The sequence below is a fragment of the Homo sapiens genome, chromosome 9 (assembly GCF_000001405.40).
Source record: "Homo sapiens chromosome 9, GRCh38.p14 Primary Assembly".
In the NCBI taxonomy this organism is placed as follows: Eukaryota; Metazoa; Chordata; class Mammalia; order Primates; family Hominidae; genus Homo; species Homo sapiens.
In genome coordinates, this window is record NC_000009.12 from 92244775 (window position 1) to 92271266 (window position 26492).

At 42.7% G+C, this 26492-nt stretch overlaps 1 protein-coding gene across 22 annotated transcripts in view, besides 1 other annotated feature; it reads right to left on the reverse strand.

Annotated features, from left to right (window-relative positions):
- Nucleotides 1–26492, reverse strand: part of IARS1 (isoleucyl-tRNA synthetase 1) — an 83491-nt gene that overhangs the window by 34568 nt on the left and 22431 nt on the right. For 17 of the 22 annotated variants that reach the window (NR_073446.2, NM_001378573.1, NM_001378583.1 and 14 more), the window contains 16 exons: nucleotides 26211–26302; nucleotides 25111–25209; nucleotides 23400–23526; nucleotides 20706–20779; nucleotides 20155–20349; nucleotides 18195–18281; nucleotides 15377–15460; nucleotides 14080–14224; nucleotides 11906–12026; nucleotides 8588–8679; nucleotides 7034–7111; nucleotides 5939–6060; nucleotides 5413–5515; nucleotides 5084–5167; nucleotides 2603–2777; nucleotides 185–297 (listed from right to left, as the gene is read on the reverse strand). Coding sequence is in view for 21 of the 22 variants with exons in the window: in NM_001378573.1 (NP_001365502.1) it covers nucleotides 185–297; nucleotides 2603–2777; nucleotides 5084–5167; nucleotides 5413–5515; nucleotides 5939–6060; nucleotides 7034–7111; nucleotides 8588–8679; nucleotides 11906–12026; nucleotides 14080–14224; nucleotides 15377–15460; nucleotides 18195–18281; nucleotides 20155–20349; nucleotides 20706–20779; nucleotides 23400–23526; nucleotides 25111–25209; nucleotides 26211–26302 (1791 nt within the window). In the remaining variant the exon portion in view is untranslated. The remainder of the gene's footprint in view (nucleotides 1–184; nucleotides 298–2602; nucleotides 2778–5083; nucleotides 5168–5412; nucleotides 5516–5938; nucleotides 6061–7033; nucleotides 7112–8587; nucleotides 8680–11905; nucleotides 12027–14079; nucleotides 14225–15376; nucleotides 15461–18194; nucleotides 18282–20154; nucleotides 20350–20705; nucleotides 20780–23399; nucleotides 23527–25110; nucleotides 25210–26210; nucleotides 26303–26492) is intronic. The other 5 variants (NM_001378584.1, NM_001374299.1, NM_001374300.1 and 2 more) reach the window with 3 other exon arrangements.
- Nucleotides 5713–6213: an enhancer, noted in NCBI's record as "H3K4me1 hESC enhancer chr9:95012769-95013269 (GRCh37/hg19 assembly coordinates)". NCBI's record gives its function as "activates a minimal SCP1, AML or CMV promoter by ChIP-STARR-seq in primed H9 embryonic stem cells {active_cell/tissue: H9 hESC(primed)}" and the evidence as "EXISTENCE:reporter gene assay evidence [ECO:0000049][PMID:30033119]".

A 26492-nucleotide genomic window follows, 5' to 3' on the forward strand; every position in this document is an offset into this window, starting at 1 on the left:
AACAAATGCATATGTTAAGGGCATAATAATATATTAGTTTAATAAAGCCAATCTAAACCAAGTAACTGGTTTATTTTACCCTGAGACAAGCTGTCAACATTATCAGGAAAGGCACAGGCAAATACTTTCTCCTCTTATGCTCTCATCTCTTGGTAAAGAAATGTTCTAGGAAACAGAAAAATACCTGAGCATCTGAGTGTGCTTCAAATTGCGCAGTCCCACCTGTGGCCTGATCAAAGGTGTACATGAGGCGGATGTCTTCATCGTGCAATTCATGGCCTTCCACAACAATGGTCCCTATGGAGAAGCAGCTACACTGTTAATCAGCTTCCCCTCCTCTTCAAGCTGCCCCACTACCCGTGTATTATGCCCCTTCTTGATTAAAATTTCACAATAACAAAGCCACAGAGGCTTCAAGAGATCATTTCCCTCTGACTCATGTCATGGTTGTAGCCAAGACATGACAAACTTTCTTTAGATTACACTATGCTACCTTGAAGACAGTTAAGTCATCACCAGTATCTACTGTTTTATATAAACTCTCAGGTCCAAAGACATGACAAAGCTAAGGGAAGGCACCAAGAGGCAACAAATGCTCACCATAAACACAGAGCAGCAGGATGTCATGAAGAAAATACAGTCTTTAAAGAGAAAGTGAACTTAGGTCCACTATTTGCTGGTTGTATGACATGGTGTTCTGCTACCTGCTGAGCAAGGTGTGGTGAGGCTAAAATGAGACGGGCAGTGTGTAGTACTGAGCATCATGCCTGTTCAGGGGAGGCAGAAATGTGAACAGCTGCTGATGTTAACACCCCCGCTGATAGGGAGGCCCACTGTTGTCACTGATGATGACCTTCTTGGGCTCTGAGCACCCGGGTGTCATTTTTATGTTTACTTTGTCTCTGTGTTCTGAAGATGATCTTGTTTTCCATCAGTGCAGAACAGTACGCTCAGAAACTAGGCTTTCAATTTCAAATAAGGTTTAGCCCAGGAATTTTTTTTTTTTTTTTGAGACAGAGTCTTGCTTTGTCACCCAGGCTGCAGTGCAGTGGCAGGATCTCGGCTCACTGCAAGCTCTGCCTCCTGGGTTCACGCCATTCCCCGGCCTCAGTCTCCTGAGTAGCTGGAACTACAGGCGCCTGCCACCACACCTGGCTAATTTTGTGTGTGTGTGTGTGTTTTTAGCAGAGACGGGGTTTCACCGTGTTAGCCAGGACAGTCTCAATCTCCTGATTTCGTGATCTGCCCGCCTCGGCCTCCCAAAGTGCTGGGATTACAGGCATGAGTCACCACCCCCAGCCATCTCAGGAATTTTTGATGCTTTGGCTATCTGGCGAACAATTTAGATTTGTGGCTTGAAGGCTCGTAACACTTTGTTATTTTAATATTTTGAGTTGATTAGTAATTAGTAATAACTTGAGGTTTAGCTGCTGATGTCTTATGTTTTATTAATTCTATCTAAATATTTGGAGAATCTTAGGGACAGTTCCCCCATCTGATTTATGAATCCTCAAATCTCTCTTCTCAAGACATCTCCTAGCTTATGATTTTCAACTTCAGAGGAAGCCGTAACAATAAACAGCTTGTGCCCCAGGATAGTTACAGGATGTCAGACAGCCACACTCAGACCATGTATGATTCTAATCATGGCAGAGCTGCAAATTTCTGGGCACCCTGAAATGCTCTGTATAGGGGTAGCAAGATGGGGCTGATTTCCCTTTCCTAATCCCATCATTTGGTTAGGTACCCCCACATGTTTTTATGTTACCCTACACCTTCCCTTTATAACACTTATCAAAACCATAATTATTTTCCCAAATCTTCAATGTCAGCAAGCACCATGAAAGTAAGGACAAAATCACCCTAGGCTCCAGGGATCCTCCCACCTCAGCCTCCAGAGTAACTGGGATGGCAGGCACATACCACCACATCTGGCTAAGTGTGGTAGTATGTGCCTGTAGTGATCTCAAGTGATCTATCCAACTGGGCCTCCCAAAATGCTGGGATTACAGATGTGAGCCGCTGGGATTACAGATGTGAGCCTCTGTGCCCAGCTATTTTCTTTCTAAACTGTAAGAATTATTTATAATAAACATTTTTATCAACAGGAAAAAAAGTTTTACTTAAGAAAAGGATGGACCGGTGCAGTGGCACACACCTGTAATCCCAGCAATTTGGGGGACCGAAGGCGGGTGGATCACCTGAGGTCAGGAGTTAGAGACCAGCCTGGCCAACATGGTGAAACCCTGTTTCTACCAAAAATACAAAAATTAGCCAGGCATGGTACTACGTGCCTGTAATCCCAGCTACTTGGGAGGCTGAGGCAGGAGAATCACTTGAACCTGGGAGGCAGAGGTTGCAGTGAGCCAAGATCGCGCCACTGTGCTCCAGGATGGATGACAGAGCGAGATTCTGTCAAGAAAAGAGAAGAGAGAAGAGAGAAAAGAGAAGAGAGTAAGGAAAGGAAAGGAAAGGACAGGACACGACGGGACACGACAGGACAGGAAAGGAAAGGATGTGATATTAAAAGTCAAACAGTAGCCTAAAAAGTATCCCTCAGACTCAGGACATAAATGGTGCCCTTGTCTGTGTAGACACCTACCAGTCTTCTGGAACTGCTCCAGCTCCTCACTGCTCAACTGCTTGATGGACGTCATCACTGCCTTAAAGGCTCCCTTCAGACGCTTCCCCAGGACCATGTGATCTGGTTCTGCCCTTAGCCGAATGCCATACTTGTTTTTATCTGTAGACAGTGTAACTTTTCGAACATTGAGTTCCTACAGTTAATGCACAAGAGGAAACAAAAATGAGAAATGAAAACATATGTTCACACAAAAATGTAGGTCCACAGCAGCATTATTCCTAACTGCCAGAAAGCAAGAACACTTCAAGTGTCCATCAACTGTGAATGGATAAACAAAATGCAGCATACACATGCAATAGAGTATTTGGCAATATGAAGGACTGAAGCACTCATATGTGCTACAACATAAATTAATGTGAAACATTATGCTAGGTGAAACACGCCAGACATAAAGATTACAAATTGTATGATTCCACTTATATGAAATGTCCAGAGAAGGCAAATCCAGAGATAGCAAATAGGTTCGTGGATGCCAGGAAATGGTCAGATATTGAGGGGAAAATGGTTTGTGAATGTTAATGAATACTGGCTTTCTTTCTGGGACGAGGAAAATGTTCTAAAACTATGGTGATAGTTGTACCATTCTATAAATATGCTTAAAAACCAGTGATTTGTATGGTAAGAAGAAAATGCTTGTTATGAAGATCTATCAAGACAGTTGAGCATAACAGAAAAAGGACTCCAGACCCAGAAATATAAACCTCATCCCTCAGAGGTAACCTTTGTGCAAGCAATTGCAGAGTACCACAAGGTTAACTATTAACTAAGCAGAAGATCAGTTAAACAGAACACTTCATGCTTCAGTCATGCTACTGAGGATTACTGATGCGGCAGGGATGGTGATGGCACAGTAGCGGATGGGAAAATGAGAACAGCTTGAAGCAAATAATACGGAATGTTTAGTTTTGCCATTATATTTAGCTACATTAATTAATCTCATTTTAAGTGAAGTAGTTAATTTCAAAATTTTTCAGCTGGGTGTGGTGGCGCAAACTTGTAATCTTAGCACTTCGGGAGATCGAGGTGGGAGGATCACTTGAGCTCAGGAGTTAGAGACCAGCCCGGGCAACATGGCAAAACCCCATCTCTACAAAAGCCTGTACTACTATGCCTAATCTCCGCCACTTGGGAGGCTGAGGTGGGAGGATTGCCCGAGCCCAGGAGATGGAGGCTGTAGTGAGCCAAGATCACATCACTGCACTCCAGCCTGGGTGACAGAGCGAGACCCTGTCACAAAAAAAAAAAAAAAAAAAAAAAAAATTTCTATTTTATGCATAGCCACAGGTACTAATGTCAGAATTTAAAATCTAACTTTTGGTTTCTAATATTTCTCTGCAACTTTCAAGCAACTGAAAACCAAATATAGAAATTAACATTTTCTATAATAATGATTTTAAATATCACCTGTGAAAAGAATAAACAATGAAATTTTAAAAAATATTTGTTTTCTATCATCACAAAGAAGATGAGGTAAAACATATGCGTTTTTAAAACATCATGGAATAAAGATGTTTTAAAATATCATGGAATAAAAATGTTTAGGAAGACAACTGACACTATAAACTTTGACCCCAAAACTCCACTTCTGGAATCTATCCAATATCCATACACTGATATATGCATATATGTACACACAAAGCTTTTGTTTGTAATCAGAAACCTAAATGTCAAACAACGGGACAGTAATTAAATAAATTATGAAGCAGCCAGGAAGTGAGACTCCAGGGAGAAATGGGGTGGAGAGAGGCTCCCTATGCTATTGCTTCGACTTTTTACATGCGAGGGTACTTGTCACTTGCATAATTTGGAGGAACAAAGTTTCTTTGGTAGTTATCAAAAAGTACTTCAGAAGGCCAGGCACAGTGGCTCATGCCTGTAATCCCAGCACTTTGGGAGGCCAAGGCGGGCAGATCACTTGAGGTCAGGAGTTTGAGACCAACCTGGCCAACATGATGAAACCCCATTCTCTACTAAAAATACAAAAGTTAGCTGGGCATGGTGGCGGGTGCCTGTAATCCCAGCTACTCGGGAGGCTGAGACAGGAGAATCGCTTGAACCCAGGAGGTGGAGGTTGTGGTAAGGCACTACTGCACTCTAGCCTGGATGACAGAGTGAGAGACTCTGTCGAAAGAAAAGAAAGAAAAGTAAAGTAAGGGAAAAGGAAAAGGAAAGGACAGGACAGAAAAGAACAGAACTTCAGGGAAGTGAATGAAGATGATAGATGATAGGTAAAGAAATTCATTGATCTTGAAATATTTTTAAAAGAATTACAACAAATTTATGTTGATTCCAAGCACAGTGTAAAATATGGATTATTACATTTGTTATGACTATACTAATAAAAATAAATTATAGAGTCAATATGTACTTTGAGGATTATTCATCAAAATAATGTTCTAAGTCTATCTGTACCAAAAACAGACAAATCATCTACCTTACCTCAATGATATACTTCTCCAAAGACTTGATATCTTTAAGAGCTTCTGGATCTTGATGGATAACCACAATTTCTTTCAAAGGATACTAGGAGGAAAAGGGAGGGGAAAGTTCACTCAGCAGCCAGTCCTCTAAAACTGCAGAAAAATGGAATATTAAATGTTTATTTGAATCTCAAGCTCTAGTCAGGCTGGACTAGTACTAAGTCATTCACACCCTCACTGCAGAAAAGGAAAAAGGCCATTGGTGGAAGCTCTCTATATTAAAAAAGCATTCCAAACACTTAATTAATTTAGGTCTGTGCCATGTAAAATAGAAGTAAAATTTCAAACCTTTATGGGAATAGTTTTTCGGTCTCTGATCACTCTTCCAAGTTCAATCACAGACTGCATCTGAGATACTGCACTCTCTGTTTTCTTGTCAATCAATTCTTCTCTGAGTGGTAGAGGTAGGAATATGAAAGAGTTTAGATTTAAGAGGAGAAAATTGAAGGCACTAGGCATGCATAAGCGAGGAAGAGGGTCAGGCTAGAGAAGTGTGGCTAGGCCCTCCTGGTGAAGCACTGGGGAAGGGCAGCGCAGTGCCTACCACTCAGCACCCGGCATCTCCCCAAGGAGCCCCCATGGGGCATGCCCACACCCCACCTGCCACAGCTCTACAAAGGGGTTCCACACCAAGCATCCTTGCTACCGTGTACCAAAGTGGGCCCCATCCTGCAGCCTGAGGAGTTCATGTCAGCTGGGGCGGGAGGCAAGGCACAGATGGAGCTGGAGCAGGGAAATCCCTCCTCTTCCCCACATGCTTGAGCAACTCTCCCCTCCTTGGCACAGGTGAGGCTTATTTCTATTTGAGTCCTACCGAACACGGGGCAGCATGAGGTAGTGAATGCTGAGTGTGTCCTTGTCCTGAACAGAAACAGGGTCAATCAGCACCTTTAGATTCTGGTACATCAATTCAGTGAGAAAAGGTGTGTAGGGAGCCTGTATGAAGACACAGGACATCATGTCAGTTATATGCAGTCATCAACAACTGATCTCATTTATACTGAGAAACAACTAAACATGTTAGAGAATGACACAGTAATAGGCACCAAAATGAGCATGAGGTTACAAAACATGCCCTGTGAATGAGAAATGGCCTCATATCCCTGAAGCATAGCTGCAGGACTGTAGATAGAAAAACCCAAAGCACCTCTAGAATTCTGAAGGATGTCTAAAATAGAAACAGGAGCACCTAATGATGTATCAGCCAAGTCAATATGCACAGAAGACTGACTGTCCCACACCTCAGAAACCTCATCTGTAAACTGGGGAAAATACCCCCTGCTTCACAGGATGGAGGTGATGAGATCAGGCATGGAGAGCACCAGGCACAGCACCTTGTACAAAGCAGATTTTCCTTCGGTTAAGGAATAAATAGGAGCCTTATAACATATGGAGTAAAGGAAACAGGATAAAAAGAATTAAAGTTGGAGCCGTTCCACTTTTATATTATTTAACTAATATCTGAACTGATAAGAACATATATCAAACAATTACTTGCACGTTTTCCTCTCAATGCTAAGTTAAAGTATTTTTTGTGATATATATATATTTACTCAGACAGGTATTAGCTGAAGAACCTCCCCCATTACTCACAATTATGGCAATCCACATTAAGATGAGGTATGTCTTACTTTGAACTGTAGATCCTCATTCTAGAGCCAAGGGCCCTGACATATATTGTACTGCCAGAGACTGTAAGAAAGAATCTAGTATTTCTTAGTCCTTACTTAACATGTATAAGCTAACAAGATTTCTGATAAGGAACTAGAGCTATAAGGTGTTATAAAACTTCTATATCTATTTTTGGCAGAATAATACAGAATGGATATAAATGGAGGATGCTGCAGCAAGTAGGTGCTGAAGGCAGCCCATAGGCCAAAGGGTACTAGAAAGAAGCCAATCATCTTACCATAAGTCTGCAAAGAGAAAGCAGAACACTAAACAAGGTTTCTAGGGCCATGACACAATCCTCCATCCCATTTTCACCCTAATGAGTAAAAAGGAAACATAAACATTAAACTGTTAAATAAGTGTTTATCATTAAAAAAATAAGTTTATTAAAAAGAGGCAATCTTCAAAGAACATGCAGCATACAGACAAGACATGAGACAGAGAAAGGAGAAAGGGCCACGACCACAGGCCATCCACGGTCAGTGCCACCAGGGTGGCCCTTCAGGGCAGTGCAGGAGGCCTGGCCAGGATGTGCACCTGCTGTCCCACTGACTATCCCCACCTGAGGCGAGCTGACAGGGAAGTAGAGCCTAACTGTAGGACCCGAAGGCTGAAGGTAGAATGGATCTACCCACAACAGACAAAAACAGTTGCTAACCAAAAACTTTAAAGTACCTTTAAATAAGATTTATGTTAAAAAAGTATATAATGTGTATTAAAAAAAATACCAATTCATTGAAATTTTTTCATTATCTTTGTTTTTCCTACAATCATAATTAATTTATCCAGAGACAACTACTGTAAGCATCTTAGCATATGTCCTTCTAGATACGTGTGTGTGAGATACATCTGCACAAAAATGAAATTACAGTTGTGTTGCAGGCTTTTATTATTAATGCCTTTTAAGACATGACTGGCCAGGCACGGTGGTTCACACCTGTAACACCACTGCTTTGAGAGGCTGAGGCCAGTGGATCACCTGAGGTCAGGAGTTTGAGACCAGCCTGGCCAACGTGGTGAAACCCTGTCTCTGCCAAAAATACAAAAATTGGCCAGGCGTGGTGGTGCACACTTGTAATCCCAGCTACTGGGGAGGTTGAGGGAGAACTGCTTGAACCTGGGAGGCAAAGGTTGTAGTGAGCCAAGATCATGCCACTGCACTCCAGCCTGGGTGACAAGAGTGAAACTCCTTCTCAAAAAAAAAAAAAAAAAAAAAAAAAAAAAAAAAGACATGACTAATGGGTAGTGGGAGCCTTCATTGGGCCTGCAGTAAAGAGACCTCGCTCTCTCTATTAAGCATCATTGTTATTTATGTACCTGGCTTAAGTCCTGAGACCAGGACCTATGCTCTGCTCATCCTAAACCCCCAACAGCTACAGAGGAGTTCTGTCCACAGTAAATAATATCTGACTCCCTTGTGGTAGAAGGAAGTACCCCTCTCAATATTAATGCCATATCTACCAGTATTTTTATAAAATATTTGCATGATTTTATTTTGAATTTTAAGAGGTCTGCTCAGTGTAGTCCTGTTTGTGCCTTGACATTCTCCCTCCAATATGACATGTACATAATTGTGTTGTGAAAATAATGCAAAATGACTTTTAGAACTTATAGATCCCTATCCCTCAAATGACAAATATAGTTAAAATGCAATGTAAAAGGAAAAGAAAAACAAAGCTTCAAAAACGGAGAGCAACTGAAAATGTTCCTCTCCCTTCTGGCTATTCTCATATTTCTTCTACTTTCAAACTTCATACACTTTTTGCTTTTCCCAACAGCAGTCTGCACTTACCTTTAATCTTCTGCGGTTCATTCTAACATACCAATTGGTCAGAATATCTACAAACTTGACCAGGCGAGGCACCACAGTATAAAGCCTATAAGCTAAAAGTAAGACAAGTCAATCAGGCAGCAAGTGGGTTACCAGGCATCTGGGGTGGGGAGAGGGTTGGATACAACAAAGAAGGGGCAGCTCCTTCCATCCAAGTGCCTCCACTTACTAAGGAGAAAAGAACCAAAATGAATCAATCACATAATGACTGTTTGTTGAGGATGTGCTACATGGCAGTCAGAGTGTTTAGGGGTGCACACAAAAAAATCACCATGTGAGCCACATGCGAATTCCCATTGGTCAGTGAGAAAAGCCAAAAACTCCAGTATGTGTGGATCAAAGTCCAAGACTGCCCACTACACAACTGTAGGAAGTGCCATTTACACGGAGCTGTGCAATTTGACAGCATCAACAATGCCCAACTTCTTTCCATTGTATTACACTGTACTTCAACTAAAAGACAAAAAGCACAATTCAGATGCTAAGAGGCACAGCATAGGCCAGTGATTCTCAAACAAAAGCAATTTTATCCCATGGGAAACATTTGTCAACGTTTGGAGAAACATTTTGCTTGTCACAACTTGGAGGGTAGCACGGTGCTACTGGAATCTAATGGGTAGACCCAGAGATGCTGCTCAGTTATAAAGCACAGCACAGCCCCACCACAGAGGATGACCTGGCCCAAACTGCCCATAGTGCTGCAGTTAAGAAACTCTGGCACAGGCTATGAATAAAATAGAACTGGCCTTCTAAACATTAAAACAGTCGAGTAAAAACAGCATCAGAGGTAGTGAAGGTCTTGAGGAATTAGGAGGATTTGAAGAGTTCCCTGAGAAACTCAGAGATCAAGTAGGAAAGAAAGGGTGTTTAGCCAATTGTCTGAGGCAAGGCTTATTTTAAGGATTCTCATTCACCTCCCATTTAATTAATACTCTTTGTTACATAAAAACAAACACAAAAAACAAAAAGAATAAGACCGATACTTAGAAACAAATACAATTTATAATAATGAAAAGAGTCCAGGGACTGTTAATGAGGCTTCTGGTCTAAGCTAAGAGACGAGAAGTTGCAACCGGCAGAGCTGCTCTCTGCTGCTTTTCACAAAGACCAGAACTCAGATGTCAGTGGGCTGAGCCCCAGGCCAGAGTCGTTAGCTGGTCACACTTTCTTAGACATGTGATTTCAGTAACTGAGACCTGTCTAAATGATTTCTAGGGTTCACGGCACTTTTTACCTTCCAGGAAGCTCAGGTTTTCTATGTTCTGGTTTCAACTCTGAGGGAGTAAATGAACCCAAATAGAACTCCACATACAATGGATAAACATACAACACACAGGGGCAGCAGCAGCAGCCACTACCCAGGCCACCACCACCCTGTGAGGCAGGTCCTCTCATACCCACAGTGCTCCTGAGGGAGTGGAGGACATGAAGCTGACAGGCCGGCAGAACCGGGACTTAAACACGGCCCACAAAACGTGGCTGCCGATCTCCAGTTTCCAGGCAGACCAGGCTCCAGCCAGAATGCGCATCTCCAGACCCAGCTTCACAGGAGGTCATGGCAGCTGGTGCCCAAATATTGAAGGGGGTCCGGGCAACAATCCCCACGTTTCCCACCCACTTGTATCACTCAGGAGGGAAAAGCAGACACAGGTGTGAGCATGTCTGGGGAGTGTGCTGGGCTCCCAGTGCTGCCCTCGCCAGGGCAGCACTCAGCCTCACACTCACTTCCATCTTCATCTGTGTCTATCTGAGCAACAGCTGGACTGTCGTGATCCTTCTACATGTTTAACAAGGTGGACAAATCCTGTAGCAGTCCTTCTGTGCTAAATGGGGCAGCAGCGCCTACTCCAGGGAGCAGCATGTGCCCGTATCTAGGCTAATGGTGAATCCCAGGTCTGTGGCGGCCGCTGCTCCTGCCCAACAGCAGCAGGAACCGCAGAGCCCTGTGAGGGTGGATTTGCCTTGCCCTCTTTTGCCCTCACTGTGACCCAGGGCCTCTGTCCACCCACTTTAACTGACTGTCTGAGGTGTCCCAGATTTCTCACCTGGACCTACAGTTGTGATTATCTCAAACCTTAAGGAAGCCAACATAATGTACTTTTTGAATCTCTGTAAAATTACCCAACGAACTCACTGTTGTTAGTTAATAGAAATAACAGCAAAATGTCCATTTCATTATTGCTCTTCTGACTTTTCTAATTTTTCTGGAAAAGAAGGGGACTATTTAGTAATGAAAATAGAACTAAAAATAAGTTATAAATGCATTAATAACAAGTATTATTTATTGAGTACCTATCATCTGCCAGCTACTTTATGTAAATCGTCTCTACTTAAGCCTTACAAACACTACTGGGCATTCTGCAGATAAAGAAACTGAAGGTCAAGATAGGCTGAATAAGAGTGGCATCTGATGGCACAATGGGGTGATTTCAGTCAACAATAATTTCTTGTACATTTAAAAACAAGAAAAAGGGTATAACCGAGATGTTTGCAACACAAAGATATGATAAATGCTTGAGGTGATGGATATCCCATTTACCCTGATATGACTATTACACACTGTATGCCTATATAAAAATATCTCCTGTACCCCATAAATATATACATCTACTATGTACCCATAAAAAAAAAAAAGGAAATTGACGGTCAGACTTCAGGCAACTCTCTGGATTGGGAACAAGTGGTAGAGTTGGGCTCTGAACCCATGGCTATCCAGCTCTAAAGCTCTTCTGTGGAGCATTGAGACCACGAGGACACCCCCTAAAGACAGAATTCCCCAGGGCTTTTTTTTTTTTTTTAAGATGGAGTTTCGCTCTTATTGCCCAGGCAGTGGTGCAATCTCAACTTACTGCAGCCTCCGCCTCCCAGGTTCAAGCAATTCTCCTGCCTCAGTCTCCTGAATAGCTGGGATTACAGGCGCCCGCCTCCATGGCCAGCTAACTTTTTTTTTTTTTTTAAATATATTTTTAGTAGAGACAGGGTTTCGCCATGTTGGCCAGGCTGGTCTCGAACTCCTGACCTAAGGTGACCTGCCTGCCTTGGTCTCCCAAAATGCTGGGGATTACAGGCGTGAGCCACCACACCAGGCCAGAAGTCCCCAGGGTCTTGAAACAAAGATATCACGACAATTAACAAGCCTTAACAAAACTATATGAGAGGTAAAAGGAAACAATTATTTAATTTTCTGTATCTCTCAATATTTCCACTATTAAATATCAAAAGGGCAGTTACAAAGAGAATAGTCCTTATTCCTGGGAGGACAGACCAAGAGAGACTCACCTGCCATTTCAGTCTCAAAGAAGCCAATGAGAGACTGCATGAAGGACAGGATCCACCGGTCTGTAATGTTGGGGCTTTCTCTAACCGTGTTCTCATTGTAGAGAAATTCTATTTCTTCCTCCTAGGAAGGAACAATTAATGAAACACTGGCACACTTGGGAAGAAAGTTACTATGAGGAAATAAACTTCTTAAATCACTTAAACAAAAACAAAAAGAAAAAATCCCAGACCCTACTGGCAATGTGAATTTCTGATTTTCAGCAATATTTTCAAGATAAGCACCAACGTGGCACATTAAGTCCTCAATTAATTTATTATGTTTTTGAGTAAACTGAAGAGAGTTTAGGAAAACATTACTTCTCTGCACCAAAGAGTAATTATGAATTGAAAGATATTCTAAAATCTTGTCAGAAAAGTGTAGGGTTTAGTTACTTTAAACCTCAGGAAGGAAGGACAGTAGAACTGTCTAGGATTGAATGATTGTCCACAAACTGAAAATGAGTACTGGGAAATAATTTCCATGCTAAGGCTGTTCATTTTACCCAGAAAGTTCTATCCCACTCTTTTTGCTTTGCAAAATCCTCCTTGATCTTAAGTCCTTGCTCTACAAACAGAACTCATGTCCTGCTTTGTTTCTCTGGCAGCACCACAACCAGGCTAGCGGGGCAGTGATAATGTGACTCTTCCTCTGTGTTTAAGGCCCTGATCATGGAGTCTGTGTCTTGCTGGTATATTCAGATGGGCCCTGGCTGTGGGGAGCTTTGACCCCGCCTGTATTCCTGAGTCCCACACCAGTGGAGACCTGCAGAGTGCACCTGCCCAAGGACTGTTTGCCCTACTTGGCAGAGAACCACATGCAGGACAGGTGGCAGGCTGCAGAGAGGAGGAATGCTGGGAGCCTGGGGAAGATGACTGCCCTTCTCAATTCCTGGGGAAAGGCTACTCTGAGAGCCTCAGGTGAACATGATGTGTCCTCATTAGCAGAACAACCAGAGCCCAAGGGGAGCAGAAGTAATTGACCTGCCTGCTGGAGTGGGATAACAAGAGTTCATTTTTCCAACCAGCTTTTTCATCTGCTCAAGCAGGAATAATATCTCATTTTCATTCAACAGTTATTTACTTACAAGCAATTTTACTTGTAAGGTGCTGGAGATCAGATGTGCAGTATCGGAACTCTGACCCCAAATCAGGTCTTGAAAGCCCATACAGGAACATGTTCAATGAAGGTGATGGACGCTGACAATGGTCAGTTGTGGGGCATGGAAGGTGGCTCTAGAGCAAGGGCTTCTCAGGTGAGAAAGTAACTCCTGGGCGTGGAGGTAACTGCCATTGAAGTACACTTCCACATACATCACAACTATTATATGTGACCCTAACAACCCACTGAAAACTCCATCGAGAACTGCTGTCACTCTCAGATTAGCCCAAATGCCACCCCACTGAGGGGCCTTCTCTGACCACCCATCTCAAGTGGCCAGCCCTAGCTTGCCTGTGACTCCGCCTTCACTGGGTGCTCTCTCTAAAAGTTGCTGACTCTTTACTGTATCTCCCAATTCCCACTCCATTGGTTCCATAAGGGGAGGGGTGTCTCACTCAACATGGTGTTCCTGGTACCAAGAACTGGCTGACGAAGCTGGGTGCCGTGGCTCATGCCTGTAATCCCAGCACTTTTGGGAGGCCAAGAAGGGCGGATCACCTGAGGTCTGGAGTTCAAGATCAGCCTGACCAACATGATGAAACCAAGTCTCCACTAAAAATATAAAACAATTAGCCAGGCATGGTGGTGGGTGCCTGTAATCCCAGCTACTGGGGAGGCTGAGGCAGTGCCTCAACCCAGGAGGCAGAGGTTACAGTGAGCCGAGATCGTGCTATTGCAATCCAGTCTGGGTGACAAGACTGAGACTCCACCTCAAAAACAAAAACAACAACTGGCGACTAAACAACTATATGACATAACTCTTTTGCAGGCTAGGGCCCATGGTCTTGGCATAGCCCGGACCCTAGATACCTTCCGCACCTGCATGTATGGCCTCCCCATGGCTCTAAGTTACCCCAGCATCAGGCAGCAGAGAACAGCAGCCCTAAAGTCTCACACAGAGCTCCACCTCACAGCTTGGTGAAGGGAGCGCTGTGGAGACACGGCAGGTACATGTGCAGCCCCCTACAGCCCATACCTTCTGGAGCCTCAGAACGTTCTGGATTAAGAAGCGATAGGCATTGTACCATGGGAGCAGTACATCCTTAAGGACGTCCCGCACACCCTCTTCTTTAAAGCGGAGGTTTTCTGCTCTCACCACAGGGGAGTTAATCAGATATAATCTGGAAGAGGGAGAAAAATTAGACAGAAAAGGTACTTAGACAGTAAACCAATTATTACTACTCGACATATTGAGAGAGCAAGATGAAAATCAGTCCTATTTTCTACAAAAGGGGGTAATTATGAATACTCTTTGAGTGGTCAATTTAAAACTCACAAAACTCACTCTCACTTTCTATAAGAGACTTAGCAAATTATAAAAGACGTATATAATCTGACACCAAAATATGGCACTGTATAGCACAGAAATGCATCTTATGCCACTCTCACTGCAGGACCAATGGGGTACACCAGCACTAAGAGAAAGGCTGGCCTGGTCCTCGTCAAGAGCCACTGTGTCCTTCCCACGGACACGACCTGCATCTGCTGCTTGCAGAGAGAGGGACTCACAAGGAAGAGCCTTCACAGAGCAGAGTCTTGACATCTGGTGGGCAGAGGTTAGGGATGCTGCTAAACATCCTACAAAGAACTACCACCACAAAGAATTACACAGCCCAAATGGGCAGCAGTGCCAAGGGTGAGTCTAAGAGACAGTGGAGAATTGGGGGAGAGCCCCACTAATGGCTCCTGGTCAACAGAGGTACTGTGTGAAGGTGCTGAGTCACAGGCCTGGGCACTGGTCTCATGCCTAGGACACAGGGATGCTGAACAAGATCTCTAGGTCCCTTTCAACTTGAACACTGTGTGGTTTCATGATTACAGCTACCTCAAGCAGTGGCTCAAATTTCTCCAAAAGCTTTTCAATATGAGTTTTTTTATCACCTCTAGCATAGATATATCTCACATGGCTCTGTAAGTACAAAATTAAAACAAATGATGAAAGAGAATTCTAATACCAACAAGACAGGGAACCTAGAAAGGAAGTAAGGCAGAGGCAATCAGCATCTAGCCTGGGGAGGACTTGGACAGCTCAACAACACCCAACACAGGTCCTCTTCCTCAAACAGACCTCTAGGTTTAAAAATGCCTTTATTATTTAGAAAACTATTTTGGGGGTTTAAAATCAACAACCATACCAACATAACATCCAAATAACAGAGATATGTTGCTAAAAACCTAACTATAAACCAAATCTAAGAATACTGATTAATAGTATAGGAGATGCTTACATAAAAAAACAATAGATACACACAAGGCAAAGCACTGGTTTGTACCTGAGGGCATCAGCACCATACTTCTGGATGATGGAAACTGGATCTGGATAATTCTTTTTCCGTTTGCTCATTTTTTGGCCATCACTTGTAAAACAAAAGGGAGATGCCAATTAAGTAAGTCAATATCACAGATGATCTTGTTTTAAGGATACAAATCATTTGCAAACAGGAATATACAAAATGAAATGGGAAGGAGTAACTTAGATAGAAGTTAGTGCTAATAGGCCGGGCGCGGTGGCTCACTCCTGTAATCCCAGCACTTTGGGAGGCTGAGGCAGGCAGATCACCTGAGGTCAGGAGTTCAAGACCAGCCTGGCCAAAATGGTGAAACCTGTTTCTACTAAAAATACAAAAATTAGCTGGGCGTGGGGGCGCACACTTGTAATCCCCACTACTGGGGAGGCTGAGGCAGGAGAATTGCCTGAACCTGAGAGGCAGAGATTGAAGTGAGCCAAGATCGCGCCACTACACTCTAGCCTGGGCAGCAGAGCAAGACTCTGTCTCAAAAAAGAAACAAACAGTGTTAAGGTACAATGGTAAGATATTTTGTTAATATTTGCAAACTTCTTTTTGAATATCATACTAAGTCCATGAGGAAGCTTCAGGGTAGACTGAAGAAGAAAGATGTGTCAGAATATATCCCAAAGAAATGAAAACTTACATTATCATAAAAACCTATTATCAATTGTTCACAACAGCTTTATTCACAATTGCCAAATGTTAGAAGCAACCCAGATGTCCTTCAAGAGGTGGATGATCAAACAAACCATGGCATACCCATAATACAGAATGCTATTTATCCATGGAAAGGAAGGAACTATTGGTAGGTGCAGTCATCTAAAATCTCAATGGAATTATGTGGATTTAAAAAAAGCCAGCTGGGTGCGGTGGCTCATGCCTGTAATACTAGCACTTTGGGAGGCCGAGGCAGGTGGATCGCCTGAGCTCAGGAGCTCGAGACCAGCCTGTCAACATGGTGAAACCCTGTCTCTACCAAAAATACAAAATATTAGCTGGGTGTGGTGGTTCATGCCTGTGGTCCCAGCTACTCGGGAGGCTGAGATGGGAGAATCGCTTGAGCCCAGGAGGTGGAGGCTGCAGTGAGCCGAGATCACGCCACTACACTCCAGCCTGGGTGATAGAGTGAGACTCTGTCTCAAAAAAAAGAAAAAAAAAGCCAATTCCCCCAAGTTAGTTACTGTATAATTCTATTTATATAACATTCTGGAAACGACAAAATTACAGAGATGGAGAAAAAACCAGTGGTTGCCAGGGATTGGGGATGACAGTGGGAAGGCAGGAGGGGAAGGCAATGCAGGAAGGGAGCCTTTGATGTTGAATTCATTCAGTAACCTGACTGTGCTGCTGGATACAGGATCCTACACACGATAGCCGTATACAGGTAAATGCGTATAAGCAAATAAGTATATGTAAAACTAGAGAAATCTGAATACGATTAGTGGGCTATATCAATATCCTGGTTGTGATATATACTGTAGTTTTGCAAAATGTGACCACTGGGGGAAACTGGGCAAAGAATTTAAGGGATCTCTATTATTTTTCACAATTGCATGCAAATCTACAATGATCTCAATACAATTTCCCCCTTTTTTTTTTTGAGATGGAGCCTCACTCTATTACCCAGGCTGGAGTGCAGTGGCATGATCTTGGCTCACTCCAACCTCTGCCTCCCAGGTTCAAGCGATTCTTGTGCCTCAGCCTCCCAGGTAGCTGGGGTTACAGGTGTGTGCCACTGCACCCACTAATTTTGTATTTTTAGTAGAGACGGGGGTTTTATCAAGTTGGCCAGGCTGGTCTCCAACTCCTGACCTCAGGAGATCCGCCCACCATGGCCTCCCAAATGGCTGGGATTACAAGCATGAGCCATAGCACCCAGCCCTCAATAAAATTTTCAATTAAAAAAAAAAAAAAAGTAGTACACATACTACAGAGGCAGACTGCCTGGGTTCAAAATTTGCATTTACCACTCATTTGCTGTGTGTCCTTTGGCAAGTCACTTTTTCCTGTCCCTCAGATTCCTCAAAGGTCACAAAGGGATTATAGGACCCATCTCAAATGGTTCTGGGGATTAAATGAGTTAAAATGTGAAAATGCACACAGTGGGGCCTGGCAAAAAATAAGGATGCACAAAATGTTAGGTGACATCCTCTTCCTCCTCACACAGCATATAAAGTAGGATTTCTGTGTGGGTACTCAGCACAAATTCTATTTTAAAATATTTCATTTTAAAATTTTCATTTATGTTTATTTTTATTCTTAATGACTAGAGGTAATAAAGTAAAGGAAAAATGAGACTTCCTTATAATAGCAAAATGTGGGAAATAATGCCCATTGGGAGGAAGTTTCAGATGAGGGGAAGAATGGGATCTGGTGGCAGAGTACCTCGGTCAAGCCCAGTGTGGCTGTCACTAGCTTTGATCCTGGGCACCTGTGGTCTCTAGAACCCACAGCTTCCTCGTGTGTTAAAAAAAGGACAACAAAATCTACATGAAAGGACTGATGTACAGATTAAATAAGATCTATAAGCAAAAGTATTTCATAAAGTGCTAAGTTTAGTAAATGCTATTTTATTACTAGTAATATCACTAGTAGCATTATGTTACTAGCAGTAGCACAATCTGAAAGTCCTCCCCTTCCTCCTCCTCCATCAGGCTTAGCTGTCACACACTCCTTCTTGAGAAACAGTGGAGACAAAGCTCCACCTGTCACTACAACAAAGTTGACCGCTCTCACGCACTCCTTCTTAAGAAACAGTGGAGACAAAGTTCCACCCGTCACTACAACAAAGTTGACCTACCTTGCCAGGACAAGCCCATTCACAATTACGTTCTTGAAAGGCGGTTGTCCAAAGAGGGCCGTGGCCAGCACCAGCAGGGTATAAAACCTGAAAAAAAACCCCAAACAGTTCAATAAAAATAGAAATGAAGTCCAAGCATAAGAAAGAAACTGTATTTATTCATTGAATTTCTATTTTTGATAAGTCACACTTCTTGAGAATCACTTAAAGCAATGATTCTTAATCCTGGTTACTGGAGACCAATCAAATTACTGTCTAAGATTTGAAAGAAGCATTGAAATAAACGTCTGGAATGATTTACTGACCATTTCTCTGTTACCAGAGCTCCCAGGAAGTCTGTGTGGAGAGCCACATGGCAGCACTGGGTGGCCTCTCAGGACCACCCAGAAGCACCTAGCTGAAGATGAAGGATGGGTTTTGAATTTGGCACAAGATCATATGGAAAAGACAATTTGATGACAAAAGATGCAAAATGCACTCTCACCCAAAAGTGATAAGGCAGACTAGAAAATGCTTTTATTCTGTAAAATGTTATGTACCTCATTTATGTGCTACCTAGCTTGTTTCCCAAATGAACTCATATCCCTGACCACTGTCCTGGGGGTGATGCTTTCCTGCCTCTCTTACCTAGTCCTGCACTCTGAGAACATCAAGGGACATGAGCTGAGGAGACCAGACCCCATAGTTAACATAAACACTGATCCAGATATCCCTCCCACTTCTAAAGGAGAGTTGGGAGGAGCCCTGGTGCCCAGGAGAGGTAGCCCAGGCCTCAGGAATGGAGAAGGAGGCAGGCACCAAGGACACGGGATCCACATGAGGACTGTTACCAGCTAACAGACTTTGCTACTCCTCAAAGGAACAAGCTCATTGGTAAGGCATCTACCCCTTTCTAAAAACAGAATTTGTGCTGGGTAGCTGTTCCTATAGACAAAAAGGACTGGAATCTGAAGACAGCACATTCCAGAACATGAAGACTTGAATTCAATGATTACCCAAAGCTGTCAAAGAGAGAAAATGACACCAACAATTCCTTTAACACACCCCTGCAGAAACATTACTGTGAATGTATAATTAAAACCTGGGCTGGGCGCAATGGCTCACGCCTGTAATCCCAGCACTTTGGGAGGCTGAGACGGGTGGGTCACTTGAGGTCAGGAGTTCGAGACCAGCCTGGCCAACATGGTGAAACCCAGTCTCTACTAAAACTACAAAAATTAGCTGGGCATGGTGGTGCATGCCTGTAGACCCAGCTACTTAGGAGGGTGAGGCAGAAGAATTGCTTGAACCCAGGAGGCGAAGGGTGCAGTGAGCCGAGATCACACCCCTGCACTCCAGCCTGGGCAGCAGAGTGCAAGATTCTGTCTCAAAAAAAAAAAAAAAAGTAAATAAAGCCTGGGCCAGCAAAGCCAATCCATGGAAAGAAAGTAATTCACCTTCTTCCAATTAAGGAACTGTTTTACATAAGGCACCAGATAAAAATCAATGCCCAAATCCTCTCTCATATGTATATTTTTTAAAAATCTGGATTTTTTTAGAATGTTGATTTATAAGGCTAGCCTCAATATCTGAGCACATTACCAACTATCCCTCAAATTTCTAGCACCCAAACTACTGTCTTTTATGCAAATACTCAAACATTTGAGTAAATGATCTGACGTAAGCTAAGAACACATAACTTTTTTTATCATTTTAACATCCAGTGTAACACATATATTCCAAAATGCCAGTGAGATCATTGAAATTGTAAAACTACAGCCCTATTGTAGTGGGAGAGTCCTACTCAAAAGGCACTTTAATGTCCGTGCTTGGTGGTGGAGGGGAGAGGGCAGGAATGTAGCCTGTCTTATTTGCCACAATCTCTCCATCACCCAGTAGATAAATGGCAGTGACTTAGTAAAATACTCCCTAAATAAAATAAAATCAATAAAACACGTGATGAAAGAACAAGGAGGCATACCATCCTCTGGTTTGGTCGATGCCCTCGGCAATGAAATCTGCAGGAAAAGCATCCTCAAACTCCCTCTTGTTTTCAAACGGGTAATGAACCTGAGCATAGGGCATGCTGCCACTCTCAAACCAACAGTCAAACACTTCAGAGATGCGGTGCAAGGATCCCTTCCCACAGCGTGAAGGAATGGTCAGGTGGTCAACACTAACAAACAGAAAAGTAGTCATTTCTATTAACTGTAAGCATAACAGAACTTGCAGTTTAATTGCTAATAGGAAACACAAAACCCTGACAAGATATTATACACATTTGCAAACAGAAATATCAGCAATTCTCAAAGGCTTTCAGAGAGCACCATGAATCCTCCATCTGAAAGGTTATGCACCATTCACCTCACATTTCACAAGGACAGAGGCCACAATACTGCAATATGACATGAGTCATCAGCAAAGTAATTCAGCAAGCTAGTCACTTCCATGTGTGGCTCTGTAATCTGCTAGAGACCAGGTCTTAATAGGAGAATCGTAAAACTGAAGTGAATCGAACATTTAGAAACTGACCTCTCTCTGTGGAGATCTGAGATCTTTGCTCCTGACAGTTCTTCAAGTTCCGCCACTGACCCAATGCATACCACCTGTCAAAAACAAAGTTCAATAGCAGGAGCTCCTTAGAGCCAAACAGAGCATACTGAGTTAATTTATATAGCATGCATGTTTACTTTGAGAGACTGATGATTTTCTTTTTCCTTTTTTTTTGAGATAGGGTCTCACTACCATTGCCCAGGCTGGAGTGCAGTGGCACAATCACAGCTCACTGCAGCCTCAGCTTCCTGGGCTCAGGTGATCCTCTCACCTAAGCCTCCCAAGTACCTGGGGCTACAGGCAGGCACCACCTCACCCAGCTAATTTTTTGTATTTTTAGTAAAGACAGGGTTTCGCCATGCTGCCCAGGCTGGTCTCAAACTCTTGGACTCGAGCTATCAGCCACCCTCAGCCTCCCAAAGTGCTGCGATTACAGGCGTGAGCCACCCAGCCTGAGACTGATGATTTAAAGGCACATTAACACACCAATCTGGGCCGAAGGATAGTATTTGCTAATGTGGCTTCTCTCTCATGAAAGACACAGCCTACTCTTAGTCTCTGAAGAGGCCAGGGTTGCCACTGCTCCTCTGTTTCCACCCCAGTATCAGAGGGAGTCCCTACCTAGAGAGAATCTTAAACATTCATAGCCATACTCTCAATGGATATTAAGGGTTTATTATGTGCAAATTGTCAAAGTAACTGGCATAAGTGAAACATCTTAGATTATTTCTCTAAGGCATTTTAGTTTCCTCCTGGCACCTGAATCTGGCTCATTAATCTAGAATCTTCCCAAGAAAAAGCTAGAGCTAAATTATAGTCATACAGTGCTTAATGGTGGGAATACATTCTGAGAAATGCATTGTTAGGGTGATTTCCTTAGGCAAACATCACAGACCTAGATGGGATGGCCTAAAACACAGCTAGGCTATATGGTGGAGCCTATTACTTCTAAGCTACAAACCTGTACAGCATGTGGCTGTACTGAATTCTGCAGGCAACTGTAACACAATGGTAAATGCTCTAGTTTTCATATGGTTTGTCCCCAGCAAATCTCAAGTTGAAATTTAATCCCCAGTGTGGCAGTATTGACAGATGGAGCCCGATGGGAGGCATCTGGGTCACAGGGTGGATCCCTCGTGAAGAGACCAATGCTCTCCTTCTGCAGTGAGTTAGTTCTCTCTCTATTAGCTCCTGTGAGAGCTGACTGTTGAAAAGAGCCTGCCCCCACCCCACCGCCCGTTTCTTCTCTTGCCATGTGATTTCTGCATACTCTGGCTCCTGTCCAGCCTTCCATCATAAGTGGATGTAGCCTGAGGTCCTCCCCACATGCAGATGTCTAGTCTTCAACTTTCCAGTCATGCAGAATCATAAGCCAAATAAACTACTTTTCTTTATAAATTATCCAGCCTCAGGTATTCCTTTGTAGCTACACTAAACAGACTAAAACAGGAAGTATTTGAGTTTCTAAACATTACAAAACACAGAAAAGGCACAGTAACCATATGGTATCATAATCTTGTGGGACCACTGTCGTATATGCGGTCTGTCATTGACTGAATGACATTATGTGGTGCATGACTATATTATGCTTGGACCCGATTAAAGCAATCAGACAAAGCCACAGGATGCTAGGATTATATCCAGGTAAAGAGCTGAGAGATGGGGCTAGCTGGGGCACTCAGAATGGAGGGATCATCTGACAAGGGCCACACCAGTAGGAACTGCTGTGCGTTCTCACCCAGGGAGCTTCTGATCCTAGTGAACACTGGTGGCCTCTTTCTCTGCCCTTCCTGTTCAGTCCTGAAAAGTCTTCTGATTCAGCTACTTCACTGTTGCCTTTCAGGTCCCTATGGGAGATTCACCAAGGTCCCCAGGGTGCTGCCGCTCATCACTGCAACAATGCTGTCAGCTTTGGACAGAAGGCCAAACACACAGATCTATCTGTATAGTAAGTCCTCGCCTGATGTCATTGAGAGGTCCCAGTAGCTGGAACTAAGTGGCGTGCACCACCATGCCTGTCTAATTTAACAAACATTTTTGTAGAGATGGAACCTCATTATGTTGCCTAGGCTGGTCTCAAATATCTGGTCTCAAGCGATCCTCCTGCCTTGGCCTCCCTAAGTGCTGCGATTACATGTGGGAGCCATCACACCCGGCCTAAAGTCAGTTATCAAGAACCTCTGTATGACATTAAGTGAGGACATAGTATATCCACATACATCTATATATCTACACACATCCTCTTATTCATTTGATTTTAGAAGTTAAAGGTCTGTAATGCTTTGGTAAATTTCTTTTCAAGTTTTCTTTTTTCATCATCTATAAAGTCAGTTTAACCATAAGCTAATAGTATACCTTAATGTAGGGGGAAGAAAAGACATCGGGGAAACACACAAAAAAAACATTTAAAGTGTGTATTTCCCTGAGAAAACTGTATCCTTTTATTTTTACAGAGGAAAGTTTTATAAATTGTATTTAATTCAAGGAAAAAAAGTTAAAAACCCCAGAAACAGATTATCTTATGTCATGATTCTAGAAAGGAATAAAGAGGAAAAAAGATGAAATAAGAAAGGGGCAAAGAAAAAAACACCCTATTCTTTTAAACCACATTCAGATTTCATGAACAAAATGCTTTAGCAAAAATCAACACAAGGAAATACTGCCATGCCTCACCTCCTCAAAGTCATCGCTGACCCACAGTGGGATGGGGGTGCCCCAGTATCTGTTTCTGGAAATTGTCCAGTCACGTGCATCTTTCAGCCAATTTCCAAATCGTTTTTCTCGTACCAACTCTGGGACCCTGCAATAAACAGATCACATAACCAATCACATAAAAATATGGAAAAATTCAACATGTAAATAATACCCACAGGAGCCTTTGTATAACGCTTTGTGGACCAAACACTCTGGAAACGTGGCGCTCACTGCAAAGAGAATGTCTTCTAAATGGACAGCATAGCACACACAACAGTTTGTGCTGCCATCAATGACCTACATCCAATAGATTACCCCACAGCACACAGGCCTCCCATGTCCTCCTCTTCAACTGGAGTACAGCTGCCACATACCTCTAACCAGTCACCTTAGCTTTAGCCAGCCTCATCCCATACAACTCTAGTCTTCACATTATCCTCACCATAGCAGTTTTTCTGAACTCATTAAGCAAAGGCCAACAGGCCAGGGGATTGGTAGCTGCTCTAGCAGCCCTCTCTATAGTCACCTCTCTGGTCATCCTTGGTCTTGAATTTCAGGCTCTGGCAATGAGGCAAGTTCCCTAGAATCCTTCTCACTTAACTGGCTTTGCCCATGCCTGCCCTCTGACACGCAGCCTGCCTGCCCTCTGACACGCAGCTTCCCTCCCTTCTGCATCCATCCTCTTGCATCCCTCCCACTCCCAGTACTCTTTATTCCTTGAGGTTCAGCTTTGCAGAAATCCTTTTCAAGCACAAGGCTGAGTCAGGGTAGGCTACCAGACCTCCCCTTCTTCTCTTGGGCACTGCAGTTACTGCCCTGTACTTCAAAGATCAGTTTATATGCCTGCACCCCCTCGAGGCTATCTTACTAATATTCTATATCTAGTATCTTACACATTAGGGGAACTAATTAGCTTACTAGCTCTAAAAATGAAAAGCTGTCTTTTGAGAAATCAGGACCACTCTGCTAAGAAATATTAGAAAGCTACAGTTTATAACTATTTCCTTTGCTGCCCTGAGATTCTCCCCATTCTCCTAAACTCAGATACAGTTTTCTAGAGTCTAGTTGGGTCCTTGTGAGAAGTTAAGAGTGGTGATTACTTTTCAAACTTGTAGTGAAAAACATTCATCTGAAATACACAGGTTCAAGCCTTGTTTCATTTTGTACCCAGAGGCTGAAATGATACTTCTTGGGCTATCACCTGCAGGACACATATCAGCTATGGAAAGCAAAGGCTTCTGTGCTTGGAGCTTATCCATACAGCCAAGCACAGGGTACATCATCCACTGCAGGACCAACAAGAGTAAGTACAAATGGCTTTTGCAGGTATATCTGAAAATAATGTTTACTCTGAAAATGACTATTATTGAAGGCTAGCAAACTCTGGCAGTACAGCCATATTTTTCCAAGGTCATTTCATTCCCTAAATCGAATAAATGGTGGTTTATCATTTCCAATGAGTTTAAAAAGAAAAATACTCCCTTACATACTTTATCACAAGAAGGATGTTACTTCTGTTCTGTAACATTATTTGAATTATTTTGTGCTCCTAAACACACAGAAGAAAAGATAGCTATTACAATACCCAATAAAAGATGGGTTATTAAAATTATAACTTGGGGGAAGTGTAAACCATACTTACTAACCACATGACAAAAGACACTATGAAGAAACACATCTTACTGCTCACCAGTAGCACAGGTCATTGTTCCTTAGGAGCTGGTCCACCATGTTCTCCACTCGCACAAACCAGCTGGGCACTGCTTTGTAAATTAGAGGAGTGTCTGATCTGGGGAAGCAGAAACACACACATAGCTGCTCAGGCTGAGACTAGTAGGCACTACGGTAAGACTGACTTTTCATGTCTTATTGACAGCATCATCACTTACTTGGCCTTCTGCTAATATTCATTTTTATTATAGATAAAAACATCTAAGACTTCAAAATTGGTCATATCTTTCCACAATAGTAAGAAAGGCAAAAACTAATACAAGAACAAGAGTAGAAAAAAATAGTTCTGCTAGTGACAATTATCTAAGAAACAATGTCAACTTCAACTTCAACACAGAAGAGGCAATGTGGAAACCAAACACGATGCAACTGAACATTTCATTTTCACCCATACTTTTACAGCATGGTCTTATATTAAAGGTTAAAATCATATTAAATTTTTCAATAAACTCTATTACAAAATTTTAGAGATGCTTCTCATCCTAAAAAAAATGTGGCCACAATACAAAACAGATTTGTACAGGTCTATTTTTCTCTCACAGTTCCTTAGGAAAGCAACATTTTTAGCCATTCATAAAACTCTCCTAGACCAGGCGCTGTGGCTCATGCCTGTAATCTCAGCACTTTGGGAGGACAAGGTGGGAGGATTATTTGAGCCCAGTAGTTTGAGACCAGCCTGGACAACATGGCGAAACCTCATTTCTATAAGAAATGCAAAAATCAGCCGGGTGTGATGGCACCACCTACATAGTTCCAGCTACTCCAGAAGCTGAGGTGGGAGGATTGCTTAAGCCGGGGAGGTGGAGGGTGCAGTGAGCTGTGATTGCACCACTGCATTCCAGCCTGGGCGTCAGAGTGAGACCCTATCTCAAAACAACAACAAAAAAACAAACAAAAAACCCAACTCTCCTAAAAATGAAGTAAGAAGGTGGCTTCCCAAACCAACTCTAAAGGATACAAGTGAGATGAACACCACAAATAAGATGGAATGGGCACATATAGTAAGTGTAAGCACAGACTGGAAGCTCTAGCTACAACACAGTCTTTGTTTCTTCTGACCTCCAGCAAAAAGGGTAGCTGTGAGTGAAGGTGGTGGCAACCAGAAGTCGGCCTTGTTCCTTCAAAGTCCTGATGATACTTTTGTCAGCATCCTATTAAAAAAAATTAAAATTTAGCCATTAAAACATACTATAATACTTAGGAACAATATATTACTAGAATCTGATACCTTGTTATGAATAAAAGGCACAAATAACAAATATTATTTATTATTTTTAGTCACTAACTTTAAGTAATTTTCAAGTACATTCCACAACATTTAAGGTCATAAAGTTTTTCGAT